The 14,773-nt window shown below is 56.1% G+C and overlaps 2 non-coding genes across 2 annotated transcripts; both read right to left on the bottom strand.

Moving 5' to 3' along the window:
* Window positions 1-3,981: 3,981 nt before the first annotated feature.
* Window positions 3,982-4,172, bottom strand: LOC124904141 (U2 spliceosomal RNA). The gene has a single exon (XR_007066014.1). It is a non-coding gene; the product is annotated as a U2 spliceosomal RNA (small nuclear RNA).
* A 5,970-nt stretch (window positions 4,173-10,142) lies between these two features.
* LOC124904142 (U2 spliceosomal RNA) lies at window positions 10,143-10,333 on the bottom strand. The gene has a single exon (XR_007066015.1). It is a non-coding gene; the product is annotated as a U2 spliceosomal RNA (small nuclear RNA).
* Between the last annotated feature and the right edge of the window lie 4,440 nt (window positions 10,334-14,773).

Raw genomic sequence — 14,773 nt, forward strand, 5'->3', positions numbered from 1 at the left:
GCGGACCGTGTCCTGTGCTGTGTAGGGAACGCTGCCTCTCTGCTCGGGACGTGGATTCCTTTCCCCTCCTCCTCGCCCGGCTACTTCTGACGCAGGTCGTCAGGACTCCGCTTGGGTGTCACCCGTGCAGGAAGCCTCCCTTAGTCAAGGGCCCTCGGCACCCGCCCCATATGTGACTAGCAGCCCTCCTGTGTATTTCATCGCGCCCCCGTTGTTTATATCAGCCATTCCACTCACCACCCTTCTGGGCAACCCTTTATCTCCCGCTCTGAAATCCCATCGCTGAGGGCTGGGACCCCTCCTCAGTGCTTATCCCTGTTTCCCCGCGCGAGTCTGGCGCCTGGCGTGTGGAAGGCGCTCAGTAAACGTTTGTGGAGCGAAGAAACGACGCAAAGGTGATGAGCACGACGCAGTTAGGAGGCTATTGGCCCGGCGCGGGGGAAAAGGGGGAAGGTCGGGCTCGGGGTGGCAGGACCCCAGAGGGCAGGGGTGGCTGCCGGGGTGCTCTTGGGGCAAGGTGGGCGTCAAGGCCCCCAGCAAGGTTGGGATAAAGTTTCTCTCCGAGGCACAGACTGCCGCCTGCGGGCTCAGCATTTACCTCTCCCTTCCTCCTTCCTAACGCAACTTCAGCGGAGGGCTGAGGGCTCTACTGCGCATTACCTGGAAAACTTATTTCACTCCACGGCCCTAAGAGGTGGGCCTTATTATTAGCCATGGCCAGGGTTAGGGTGAGGCCACTCCTCCAGGGCAGAATTTCAGGGGGTGCCCACCCCCCCGCCCTAAATCATTCAGCAATCAACATAAATTATAGTTCAACGCAATGTATCTTATCTTGTGGGCCGCAAGCCACCCAGGTGCCCAGGCAAGAGCCTGAAGGCACAAGCTGTTCCAGTACAGCGAAGAAAATAATTAGAATAAGAAAAGTTTTACTAGAGATAGGAAACGGATAGGATTATATCTGACTATTATTAATCATTAGTTTGTAGCATCACTCTTTGTTCTATTACCATAATGATCTCTGTTCTATTATGATTACCTTGGGGGAAACCAGGCCACACAGAGTTAGGAGCTGAAGGGCCACAGTGAGAGGTGACCAGAAGACGAGAGTGTGAGCCCTCATTCACGCCCAGAGAAGGGCCGCTGGAGGGCTCCTTGGCCTAGCGGTAATGCCAGTGCCTGGGAAGGCCCTGGTTACTTAGCAGGCCTTGGTCTAGCGGTGGCCCCAGTGCCTGGGAAGGCACCCGTTACTTAGCAGACCCGGAAAGGGAATCTCCCTCTCTCCAGGAGAGACAGAGTGTGAGCCACTGTGCCCGGCTGGGAGCAAGACTGGAGCAAGACTCCATCTCAAAAAAATAAAATAAAATAAATAAGTGAATTAATTAATTAAAGGCCAGGCATGGTGGTTCACACTTGTCAACATTTTGGGAGACTTAGGTGGGAGGATTGCTTGAGTCCAGGAGTTCCAGACCAGCCAGGGCAACATAGTGAGACCCTGTCTGTATTACAATAATAAAATCAAATAAAGTTTTTAATTTTTTTTTGAGACAAGAGTCTCACTCTATCACTCAGGTCAGAGTGCAGTGGCACTATCTTGGCTCACTGCAACCTCCACCTCACTGATTCAAGTGATTCTCATGCCTCAGTCTCCCCAGGTAGCTGGAATTCCAGGCAAGCGCCACCATGCCTAGCTACTTTTTGTACTTTTAGTAGAGACCAGGTTTCGCCATGTTGGCCAGGCTGGTCTTGAACTCCTGACCTCCTCTGATCCACCCACCTTGGCCTCCCAAAGTGCTGGATTAACTTTAACCACCATGCCCGGCCAAAATAACATTGTAAAAACTAAATTAAATTATATAATGACGTTTGCTGTCCTCCCTCTCCACCTCGGCTACCACAAAGGGAAAGGCCCCCTGTCCAGTGGACACGTGACTCGCGTGACCTATCGATCATTGGAGATGACTGGCACTCCTTACCCTGCCCCCTTGCCTTGACTACAATAAATAGCAGCGCCTCCAGGCACTCGGGGCCACTACCTGTCTGTCTCCGCGCTTTGGTGGCAGTGGTCCCCCGGGCCCAGCTGTCTTTCTTCCTATCTCTTTGTCTTCTGTCTTTATCTCTTCGATCTCTCGTCTCCGCACACACGCGAAGAGAAAACCCACAGACCCGGTAGGGGTGGACCCTACATTATCTCAGCTACAACATAATCAGGATATTCACGTGGACTACTGAGTCTTTCGGTGCCCCCTTGCTGTTTTAGTTTTGTCCTGCGGCCGAGTGTTTCCCTCGCTTCACGCCAACACAATCTCCGCCGCCCTGTCTTGTCATCCCCATTCTACAGCCCAGCACGGTGTAGTATGGCAGCCGCTAGCCACAGGTATCTAGGGAGCCCTGGAAATGTGGTCAGTTCTAATGGAGCTGCGCTGTTAAGTGTGAAATACACATGGGATTTTGACGGCAGTGGGAGCAAAATTCTCCCAATTTTTTTTTTTTTTTTTTTTTTTTTCAGACGGAGGTTCCGCTCTTGTTACCCAGCCTGGAGTCCAATGGCGCGATCTAGGCTCTCTGCAACCTCCGCCTCCCGGGTTCAAGCGATTCCCCTGCCTCAGCCTCCCGAGCAGCTGGGACTACAGGCATGTGCCACCACGCCCGGCTAACTTTGTATTTTTAGTACAGATGGGGTTTCTCCACGTTGCTCAGGCTGGTCTCCAACTCCCGACCTCCGGTGATCTGCCCAGCTGCCGCCTCCCAAAGTGTTGCTTGCGATTACAGGCTTGAGCCACCGCTCACCCTGGCTTTTTTTTTTTTTTTTTTCCAAACAAACTCTCGCTCTGTCGCCCAGGCTGGGAGTGCAGTGGCGCGATCTCGGCTCACTGCAGCCTCTACCTCCCGGGTTCCAGCGATTCTCCTGCCTCAGCCTCCTGGGTAGCTGGGATTACAGGCGCAGGCCACCACGCCCGGCTAATTTTTGTATTTTTAGGGGGTTTCGCCATGTCGGCCAGGCTGGTCTCGAGCTCCTGACCTCAGGCGATCCGCCCGCCTCGGCCTCCCAAAGCGCTGGGATTACAGGCGTAAGCCACCGCGCCGGGCTCTTTCATTCTGTCTTTATTTTCTGAGATCGAGTCTCGCTCGGCCGCTCAGGTTGGACTGCAACGGCGTGATCTCGGCTCGCTGAAAAGGCCTCATTCTCAGCAAACTGACACAGGAAGCGAAAACCAAACACCGCATGTTCTCGCTCCTAAGTGGGAGTTGAACAGCGAGAACACATGGGACACAGGGAGGGGAACATCACACGCCGGGCCCTGACGGGGCGTGGGGGGCAAGGGGAGAGAGAGCATTAGGACAAATAGCCAACGCATGCGGGGCTTCAAACCTAGACGACTGGTGGATAGGTGCAGCAAAGCACCGTGGCACACGTGTACCTATGTTCCAAACCTGCACGTCCTGCACATGTACCCCAGAACTTGGGAGGGGGTGGGGGAAACCAAAAGAGCGAGGGAGAGGCGGGGGGGGGGGAAAGAGAGGGAGAGAGGGAAAGAGAGAGAGAGACAGGAGAGAGGAGAGAGAGAGAGAGAGAGAGAGAGAGAGAGAGAGACAGAGAGAGAGACAGAGAGACAGAGACAGACACAGAGAGACGGAGAGACAGAGAGAGAGAGAGAGAGAGAGAGAGACAGGAGAAAGAAGAACTCCGGGTGGGTCCCATTCCTTTAAAAGGTCGCCACCCACTCGACTGCCAAGCTGAGATCCTAAGGACCTCCCCAAAGGAGGAGGTCGTGGCCTTCCCAAAGCGCAGTAGCCACGGTGGAAACGAAAGCGTGCCGCATAAGCCTACCGTCTACCGCCCGCACATCAGGAACCTCAAGGTACTTCAGGGAAGCAGTTAAGTCAAGCCGGCGCGTCACAGGCACTCGGCGTGCAAGCCGCCCCGCAGGTGCTACCGTCTCTTACCTCCCTCTACTTTTAGGAAACACGTTGTATCCCCGGAGGGGGTGCACCGTTCCTGGAGGTACTGCAATACCAGGTCGATGCGTGGAGTGGACGGAGCAAGCTCCTATTCCATCTCCCTGCTCCAAAAATCCATTTAATATATTGTCCTCGGATAGAGGACGTATCAGATATTAAACTGATAAGAACAGATACTACACTTGATCTTAGCCAAAAGGCCGAGAAGCGATGCGCTCGCCTTCGCGCCCGCCGTCACCGTCCCACTCTCATCCACATTCAAGTCGCGGTGAGAGCCCCAGCCTCGCTCCTTGCCCCATTCCCTCTGTCTCGTCCACAGCGCTATTGACGCCCTTACACTCTCGGGCTGATTTCTTATTCTCCGCCTTTGAAAAGGGAAATCTTACACCCGTGCTTCTTCCGGCGTTCCCGGGCTTTCATTTCGAATTTGCATGCCCCGCCCTTTCACAGAGGGCGTGGCCTCCGCCGTTGACTCCGCCCCCGGGGCCGCCTCTGCCTGGGGGAGCCGGGGCTCCGCTGGGGGCGACTTCCTTGTTCGTATCGAGCCAGCGAAAAGACAGAACCGGAAGAGACCGGGGGCGAAGGCGACAGGGGTCTGTGGAAGAGACCTGTCGGCGGAGAGCGGTCCACGTTTTCCTGGAGAAAGACGAGGCCCCAGGGCAGGAGCGCGGGCTGCGCTGGGCCTTTACTTCGCCGCCCGCGGGCGGGGAGACCGGCCCCGTACCCGAGGGGACGAGGGGACGAGGGGCCCATGCCCAGTCAGGGAAGCCGAAGGCCTGGAGGGGCTTCCGGGAGCAGGGGCTGGAGTTCCTCTGCCAGGCAGGAGGCTGGCACCAGACACCCGGCAGAGGGAGGCGGCGAGGGCCCAGCAAGGATTCTCCCCAGCCCCTGTGCCTGCGTCTCCTGCGGCTTCTGTGCGCGGACCGTGTCCTGTGCTGTGTAGGGAACGCTGCCTCTCTGCTCGGGACGTGGATTCCTTTCCCCTCCTCCTCGCCCGGCTACTTCTGACGCAGGTCGTCAGGACTCCGCTTGGGTGTCACCCGTGCAGGAAGCCTCCCTTAGTCAAGGGCCCTCGGCACCCGCCCCATATGTGACTAGCAGCCCTCCTGTGTATTTCATCGCGCCCCCGTTGTTTATATCAGCCATTCCACTCACCACCCTTCTGGGCAACCCTTTATCTCCCGCTCTGAAATCCCATCGCTGAGGGCTGGGACCCCTCCTCAGTGCTTATCCCTGTTTCCCCGCGCGAGTCTGGCGCCTGGCGTGTGGAAGGCGCTCAGTAAACGTTTGTGGAGCGAAGAAACGACGCAAAGGTGATGAGCACGACGCAGTTAGGAGGCTATTGGCCCGGCGCGGGGGAAAAGGGGGAAGGTCGGGCTCGGGGTGGCAGGACCCCAGAGGGCAGGGGTGGCTGCCGGGGTGCTCTTGGGGCAAGGTGGGCGTCAAGGCCCCCAGCAAGGTTGGGATAAAGTTTCTCTCCGAGGCACAGACTGCCGCCTGCGGGCTCAGCATTTACCTCTCCCTTCCTCCTTCCTAACGCAACTTCAGCGGAGGGCTGAGGGCTCTACTGCGCATTACCTGGAAAACTTATTTCACTCCACGGCCCTAAGAGGTGGGCCTTATTATTAGCCACGGCCAGGGTTAGGGTGAGGCCACTCCTCCAGGGCAGAATTTCAGGGGGTGCCCAACCCCCCGCCCTAAATCATTCAGCAATCAACATAAATTATAGTTCAACGCAATGTATCTTATCTTGTGGGCCGCAAGCCACCCAGGTGCCCAGGCAAGAGCCTGAAGGCACAAGCTGTTCCAGTACAGCGAAGAAAATAATTAGAATAAGAAAAGTTTTACTAGAGATAGGAAACGGATAGGATTATATCTGACTATTATTAATCATTAGTTTGTAGCATCACTCTTTGTTCTATTACCATAATGATCTCTGTTCTATTATGATTACCTTGGGGGAAACCAGGCCACACAGAGTTAGGAGCTGAAGGGCCACAGTGAGAGGTGACCAGAAGACGAGAGTGTGAGCCCTCATTCACGCCCAGAGAAGGGCCGCTGGAGGGCTCCTTGGCCTAGCGGTAATGCCAGTGCCTGGGAAGGCCCTGGTTACTTAGCAGGCCTTGGTCTAGCGGTGGCCCCAGTGCCTGGGAAGGCACCCGTTACTTAGCAGACCCGGAAAGGGAATCTCCCTCTCTCCAGGGGAGACAGAGAACGCTCCGCTCCACCACCTCTTGTGGGAGGTCTGACATTAGCCAGGCCGGCCCGCAGTCATCCGGAGGCTCCAACGTCTGTCTCCCTGTGATGCTGTGCTTCAGTGGTCACGCTCCTTGTTCACTTTCATGTTCAGCCTGTACACCTGGCTCCTCCTTTTAAGTTCTTAGAAGACAGCAGTAGCAGAACTAGTAGGAGTACCACAGTCTTTCGATCTTTCTGATAAGTGCATAGAAGAAACGCTGACGTTTGCTGTCCTCCCTCTCCACCTCGGCTACCACAAAGGGAAAGGCCCCCTGTCCAGTGGACACGTGACTCGCGTGACCTATCGATCATTGGAGATGACTGGCACTCCTTACCCTGCCCCCTTGCCTTGACTACAATAAATAGCAGCGCCTCCAGGCACTCGGGGCCACTACCTGTCTGTCTCCGCGCTTTGGTGGCAGTGGTCCCCCGGGCCCAGCTGTCTTTCTTCCTATCTCTTTGTCTTCTGTCTTTATCTCTTCGATCTCTCGTCTCCGCACACACGCGAAGAGAAAACCCACAGACCCGGTAGGGGTGGACCCTACATTATCTCAGCTACAACATAATCAGGATATTCACGTGGACTACTGAGTCTTTCGGTGCCCCCTTGCTGTTTTAGTTTTGTCCTGCGGCCGAGTGTTTCCCTCGCTTCACGCCAACACAATCTCCGCCGCCCTGTCTTGTCATCCCCATTCTACAGCCCAGCACGGTGTAGTATGGCAGCCGCTAGCCACAGGTATCTAGGGAGCCCTGGAAATGTGGTCAGTTCTAATGGAGCTGTGCTGTAAGTGTGAAATACACGTGGGATTTTGACGGCAGTGGGAGCAAAATTCTCCCAATTTTTTTTTTTTTTTTTTTTTTTTCAGACGGAGGTTCCGCTCTTGTTACCCAGCCTGGAGTCCAATGGCGCGATCTAGGCTCTCTGCAACCTCCGCCTCCCGGGTTCAAGCGATTCCCCTGCCTCAGCCTCCCGAGCAGCTGGGACTACAGGCATGTGCCACCACGCCCGGCTAACTTTGTATTTTTAGTACAGATGGGGTTTCTCCACGTTGCTCAGGCTGGTCTCCAACTCCCGACCTCCGGTGATCTGCCCAGCTGCCGCCTCCCAAAGTGTTGCTTGCGATTACAGGCTTGAGCCACCGCTCACCCTGGCTTTTTTTTTTTTTTTTTCCAGACAAACTCTCGCTCTGTCGCCCAGGCTGGAGTGCAGTGGCGCGATCTCGGCTCACTGCAGCCTCTACCTCCCGGGTTCCAGCGATTCTCCTGCCTCAGCCTCCTGGGTAGCTGGGATTACAGGCGCAGGCCACCACGCCCGGCTAATTTTTGTATTTTTAGGGGGTTTCGCCATGTCGGCCAGGCTGGTCTCGAGCTCCTGACCTCAGGCGATCCGCCCGCCTCGGCCTCCCAAAGCGCTGGGATTACAGGCGTAAGCCACCGCGCCGGGCTCTTTCATTCTGTCTTTATTTTCTGAGATAGAGTCTCGCTCGGACGCTCAGGTTGGACTGCAACGGCGTGATCTCGGCTCGCTGAAACTTCCGCCTCCCGGGTTCAAGCGATTCTCCTGTCTCAGCCTCCCGAGTAGCTGGGATTATTGACGGGCAGCACCACGCCCGGCTACTTTTTGTGGTTTTTGTATCTTCTGTCTTCTGCTCTTTAGTACCGCATAGAGCCGCAGAAGACTAGCGAGTCGAACAAACGGCCCCTCTTGCAGCAGTTGTTGATCACGGGGCTGCCCCCCGGTACTCATCCTGTGTCTCTCGTCCAAATCCCCGCTCCTCCTCAGCTATCACCTCTGCCGATGCTGGTGGTTTCCCTGGGTACCGGGAACCAAACTCTCATTCCCCAGGGGCCTAAGCCCCCCGTGGCCAGGCCCTTCTCAAGTCAGGGTTCCTGCACATTCACAGTTACGGGTGGCCCTGGGAGTAACACCTGGCACCCAAACAGGTCACCAGAGTCCACACATAGTCCACCTGCCCTCCCTGCGTAAGATCAGCTCTTCCTCCTCCCGACGATAGATCAGGGTCAATGATCCCTGCCAAGATGGCGACTGCTCCAGCCTGCTGGTCCAACCTGTCCAGCCACAGCTGTTGCTCGAAGGCTTGAAGTTCAATGGGACCCTCTCCCGCTTTCTACAAACTGGTTCCTTTATTTTTATGTTTATTTATTTGGGACGGGGTCTGGCTCTGTCACCCAGGCTGGAGTGCAGTGGTGCAATCACTGCTCACTGCAGCATCCACCTCCCAGCGTCCACCCATCCTCCTGGCCTCAGCCTCCGGAACAGCTGGGGTACAGGTATGCCCCAGCCCGAACAGGTTTTCACTAGGTTGCCTGGGCTCTTTCTTTCTTTGTCTGTGTTTGTTTGTTGGTTGGTTGGTTGGTTGGTTGGTTTTTGTTTGTTTGTTTCGAGACGGGGCTCCGGCTCTGCCGCCGGGGGCTGCAGTGCAATGGCGCGATCTCACCTCACTGCGGCCTTCTGGGCTCAAGCGATCCTCCCACTGTGCCCGGCCTGAAGACAGCCTTTAGAGAAAGAAGCAGGGGGAGTTCTTCCGAGGACAGACAAGATTTCTGGAGTTTGGAAAGGGTGAGAGACTGGGTCAGCGAAAGGAACATTCCGGTCTTTATGTTGGGATGCAACGTATAGATACAGGGATGAGACCCAAAAGAGCCGGCAGAGGTTTGTCATCGTGCTCGCAAGGCAACTGCCGGTGGCTGATCCCGTAAAGGATACACATACCTAGAGCGGAGCCTAAAGATGCATCCAGCATGACGGGTGGAGCCACGATGCTTGGACTCGAGCTCTGCTCCTGTGCGTTCCGTGATCAATGGCTTATACTACCTGCACCTCAGTTTTTCCCGGGCAAAAAAGGAAGCTTGCTGCCGGTGCGTTGGCACCTGCCTTAAAGTGCCAGCTACTCAGCGGGCTGAAGAGGAAGAAGTTCCTACTAGGAAGACACGTGGACACGTATGTTTACTGCAGCACTATTTACAATAGCAAAGACTTGGAACCAACTCGAATGCCCATGAATGATAGGCTGGATAAAGAAAGTGTGGCACGTATACAGCATGGAATTACTACGCAGCCATAAAAAAGGATGAGTTCATGACCTCTGCGGGAACGTGGATGAAGCTGGAAGGCCTCATTCTCAGCAAACTGACACAGGAAGCGAAAACCAAACACCGCATGTTCTCGCTCCTAAGTGGGAGTTGAACAGCGAGAACACATGGGACACAGGGAGGGGAACATCACACGCCGGGCCCTGACGGGGCGTGGGGGGCAAGGGGAGAGAGAGCATTAGGACAAATAGCCAACGCATGCGGGGCTTCAAACCTAGACGACTGGTGGATAGGTGCAGCAAAGCACCGTGGCACACGTGTACCTATGTTCCAAACCTGCACGTCCTGCACATGTACCCCAGAACTTGGGAGGGGGTGGGGGAAACCAAAAGAGCGAGGGAGAGGCGGGGGGGGGGAAGAGAGAGAGAGAGGGAAAGAGAGAGAGAGACAGAGAGAGGAGAGAGAGAGAGAGAGAGAGAGAGAGAGACAGAGAGAGAGACAGAGAGACAGAGACAGACACAGAGAGACGGAGAGACAGAGAGAGAGAGAGAGAAAGAGAGAGAGAGAGAGAGAGAGACAGGAGAAAGAAGAACTCCGGGTGGGTCCCATTCCTTTAAAAGGTCGCCACCCACTCGACTGCCAAGCTGAGATCCTAAGGACCTCCCCAAAGGAGGAGGTCGTGGCCTTCCCAAAGCGCAGTAGCCACGGTGGAAACGAAAGCGTGCCGCATAAGCCTACCGTCTACCGCCCGCACATCAGGAACCTCAAGGTACTTCAGGGAAGCAGTTAAGTCAAGCCGGCGCGTCACAGGCACTCGGCGTGCAAGCCGCCCCGCAGGTGCTACCGTCTCTTACCTCCCTCTACTTTTAGGAAACACGTTGTATCCCCGGAGGGGGTGCACCGTTCCTGGAGGTACTGCAATACCAGGTCGATGCGTGGAGTGGACGGAGCAAGCTCCTATTCCATCTCCCTGCTCCAAAAATCCATTTAATATATTGTCCTCGGATAGAGGACGTATCAGATATTAAACTGATAAGAACAGATACTACACTTGATCTTAGCCAAAAGGCCGAGAAGCGATGCGCTCGCCTTCGCGCCCGCCGTCACCGTCCCACTCTCATCCACATTCAAGTCGCGGTGAGAGCCCCAGCCTCGCTCCTTGCCCCATTCCCTCTGTCTCGTCCACAGCGCTATTGACGCCCTTACACTCTCGGGCTGATTTCTTATTCTCCGCCTTTGAAAAGGGAAATCTTACACCCGTGCTTCTTCCGGCGTTCCCGGGCTTTCATTTCGAATTTGCATGCCCCGCCCTTTCACAGAGGGCGTGGCCTCCGCCGTTGACTCCGCCCCCGGGGCCGCCTCTGCCTGGGGGAGCCGGGGCTCCGCTGGGGGCGACTTCCTTGTTCGTATCGAGCCAGCGAAAAGACAGAACCGGAAGAGACCGGGGGCGAAGGCGACAGGGGTCTGTGGAAGAGACCTGTCGGCGGAGAGCGGTCCACGTTTTCCTGGAGAAAGACGAGGCCCCAGGGCAGGAGCGCGGGCTGCGCTGGGCCTTTACTTCGCCGCCCGCGGGCGGGGAGACCGGCCCCGTACCCGAGGGGACGAGGGGACGAGGGGCCCATGCCCAGTCAGGGAAGCCGAAGGCCTGGAGGGGCTTCCGGGAGCAGGGGCTGGAGTTCCTCTGCCAGGCAGGAGGCTGGCACCAGACACCCGGCAGAGGGAGGCGGCGAGGGCCCAGCAAGGATTCTCCCCAGCCCCTGTGCCTGCGTCTCCTGCGGCTTCTGTGCGCGGACCGTGTCCTGTGCTGTGTAGGGAACGCTGCCTCTCTGCTCGGGACGTGGATTCCTTTCCCCTCCTCCTCGCCCGGCTACTTCTGACGCAGGTCGTCAGGACTCCGCTTGGGTGTCACCCGTGCAGGAAGCCTCCCTTAGTCAAGGGCCCTCGGCACCTGCCCCATATGTGACTAGCAGCCCTCCTGTGTATTTCATCGCGCCCCCGTTGTTTATATCAGCCATTCCACTCACCACCCTTCTGGGCAACCCTTTATCTCCCGCTCTGAAATCCCATCGCTGAGGGCTGGGACCCCTCCTCAGTGCTTATCCCTGTTTCCCCGCGCGAGTCTGGCGCCTGGCGTGTGGAAGGCGCTCAGTAAACGTTTGTGGAGCGAAGAAACGACGCAAAGGTGATGAGCACGACGCAGTTAGGAGGCTATTGGCCCGGCGCGGGGGAAAAGGGGGAAGGTCGGGCTCGGGGTGGCAGGACCCCAGAGGGCAGGGGTGGCTGCCGGGGTGCTCTTGGGGCAAGGTGGGCGTCAAGGCCCCCAGCAAGGTTGGGATAAAGTTTCTCTCCGAGGCACAGACTGCCGCCTGCGGGCTCAGCATTTACCTCTCCCTTCCTCCTTCCTAACGCAACTTCAGCGGAGGGCTGAGGGCTCTACTGCGCATTACCTGGAAAACTTATTTCACTCCACGGCCCTAAGAGGTGGGCCTTATTATTAGCCACGGCCAGGGTTAGGGTGAGGCCACTCCTCCAGGGCAGAATTTCAGGGGGTGCCCACCCCCCCGCCCTAAATCATTCAGCAATCAACATAAATTATAGTTCAACGCAATGTATCTTATCTTGTGGGCCGCAAGCCACCCAGGTGCCCAGGCAAGAGCCTGAAGGCACAAGCTGTTCCAGTACAGCGAAGAAAATAATTAGAATAAGAAAAGTTTTACTAGAGATAGGAAACGGATAGGATTATATCTGACTATTATTAATCATTAGTTTGTAGCATCACTCTTTGTTCTATTACCATAATGATCTCTGTTCTATTATGATTACCTTGGGGGAAACCAGGCCACACAGAGTTAGGAGCTGAAGGGCCACAGTGAGAGGTGACCAGAAGACGAGAGTGTGAGCCCTCATTCACGCCCAGAGAAGGGCCGCTGGAGGGCTCCTTGGCCTAGCGGTAATGCCAGTGCCTGGGAAGGCCCTGGTTACTTAGCAGGCCTTGGTCTAGCGGTGGCCCCAGTGCCTGGGAAGGCACCCGTTACTTAGCAGACCCGGAAAGGGAATCTCCCTCTCTCCAGGGGAGACAGAGAACGCTCCGCTCCACCACCTCTTGTGGGAGGTCTGACATTAGCCAGGCCGGCCCGCAGTCATCCGGAGGCTCCAACGTCTGTCTCCCTGTGATGCTGTGCTTCAGTGGTCACGCTCCTTGTTCACTTTCATGTTCAGCCTGTACACCTGGCTCCTCCTTTTAAGTTCTTAGAAGACAGCAGTAGCAGAACTAGTAGGAGTACCACAGTCTTCGATCTTTCTGATAAGTGCATAGAAGAAACGCTGACGTTTGCTGTCCTCCCTCTCCACCTCGGCTACCACAAAGGGAAAGGCCCCCTGTCCAGTGGACACGTGACTCGCGTGACCTATCGATCATTGGAGATGACTGGCACTCCTTACCCTGCCCCCTTGCCTTGACTACAATAAATAGCAGCGCCTCCAGGCACTCGGGGCCACTACCTGTCTGTCTCCGCGCTTTGGTGGCAGTGGTCCCCCGGGCCCAGCTGTCTTTCTTCCTATCTCTTTGTCTTCTGTCTTTATCTCTTCGATCTCTCGTCTCCGCACACACGCGAAGAGAAAACCCACAGACCCGGTAGGGGTGGACCCTACATTATCTCAGCTACAACATAATCAGGATATTCACGTGGACTACTGAGTCTTTCGGTGCCCCCTTGCTGTTTTAGTTTTGTCCTGCGGCCGAGTGTTTCCCTCGCTTCACGCCAACACAATCTCCGCCGCCCTGTCTTGTCATCCCCATTCTACAGCCCAGCACGGTGTAGTATGGCAGCCGCTAGCCACAGGTATCTAGGGAGCCCTGGAAATGTGGTCAGTTCTAATGGAGCTGCGCTGTTAAGTGTGAAATACACATGGGATTTTGACGGCAGTGGGAGCAAAATTCTCCCAATTTTTTTTTTTTTTTTTTTTTTTTTTCAGACGGAGGTTCCGCTCTTGTTACCCAGCCTGGAGTCCAATGGCGCGATCTAGGCTCTCTGCAACCTCCGCCTCCCGGGTTCAAGCGATTCCCCTGCCTCAGCCTCCCGAGCAGCTGGGACTACAGGCATGTGCCACCACGCCCGGCTAACTTTGTATTTTTAGTACAGATGGGGTTTCTCCACGTTGCTCAGGCTGGTCTCCAACTCCCGACCTCCGGTGATCTGCCCAGCTGCCGCCTCCCAAAGTGTTGCTTGCGATTACAGGCTTGAGCCACCGCTCACCCTGGCTTTTTTTTTTTTTTTTCCAGACAAACTCTCGCTCTGTCGCCCAGGCTGGAGTGCAGTGGCGCGATCTCGGCTCACTGCAGCCTCTACCTCCCGGGTTCCAGCGATTCTCCTGCCTCAGCCTCCTGGGTAGCTGGGATTACAGGCGCAGGCCACCACGCCCGGCTAATTTTTGTATTTTTAGGGGGTTTCGCCATGTCGGCCAGGCTGGTCTCGAGCTCCTGACCTCAGGCGATCCGCCCGCCTCGGCCTCCCAAAGCGCTGGGATTACAGGCGTAAGCCACCGCGCCGGGCTCTTTCATTCTGTCTTTATTTTCTGAGATAGAGTCTCGCTCGGACGCTCAGGTTGGACTGCAACGGCGTGATCTCGGCTCGCTGAAACTTCCGCCCTCCCGGGTTCAAGCGATTCTCCTGTCTCAGCCTCCCGAGTAGCTGGGATTATTGACGGGCAGCACCACGCCCCGGCTACTTTTTGTGGTTTTTGTATCTTCTGTCTTCTGCTCTTTAGTACCGCATAGAGCCGCAGAAGACTAGCGAGTCGAACAAACGGCCCCTCTTGCAGCAGTTGTTGATCACGGGGCTGCCCCCCGGTACTCATCCTGTGTCTCTCGTCCAAATCCCCGCTCCTCCTCAGCTATCACCTCTGCCGATGCTGGTGGTTTCCCTGGGTACCGGGAACCAAACTCTCATTCCCCAGGGGCCTAAGCCCCCCGTGGCCAGGCCCTTCTCAAGTCAGGGTTCCTGCACATTCACAGTTACGGGTGGCCCTGGGAGTAACACCTGGCACCCAAACAGGTCACCAGAGTCCACACATAGTCCACCTGCCCTCCCTGCGTAAGATCAGCTCTTCCTCCTCCCGACGATAGATCAGGGTCAATGATCCCTGCCAAGATGGCGACTGCTCCAGCCTGCTGGTCCAACCTGTCCAGCCACAGCTGTTGCTCGAAGGCTTGAAGTTCAATGGGACCCTCTCCCGCTTTCTACAAACTGGTTCCTTTATTTTTATGTTTATTTATTTGGGACGGGGTCTGGCTCTGTCACCCAGGCTGGAGTGCAGTGGTGCAATCACTGCTCACTGCAGCATCCACCTCCCAGCGTCCACCCATCCTCCTGGCCTCAGCCTCCGGAACAGCTGGGGTACAGGTACGCCCCAGCCCGAACAGGTTTTCACTAGGTTGCCTGGGCTCTTTCTTTCTTTGTCTGTGTTTGTTTGTTGGTTGGTTGGTTGGTTGGTTGGTTTTTGTTTGTTTGTTTCGAGACGG

Source organism: Homo sapiens, chromosome 17 (assembly GCF_000001405.40).
Source record: "Homo sapiens chromosome 17, GRCh38.p14 Primary Assembly".
In the NCBI taxonomy this organism is placed as follows: Eukaryota; Metazoa; Chordata; class Mammalia; order Primates; family Hominidae; genus Homo; species Homo sapiens.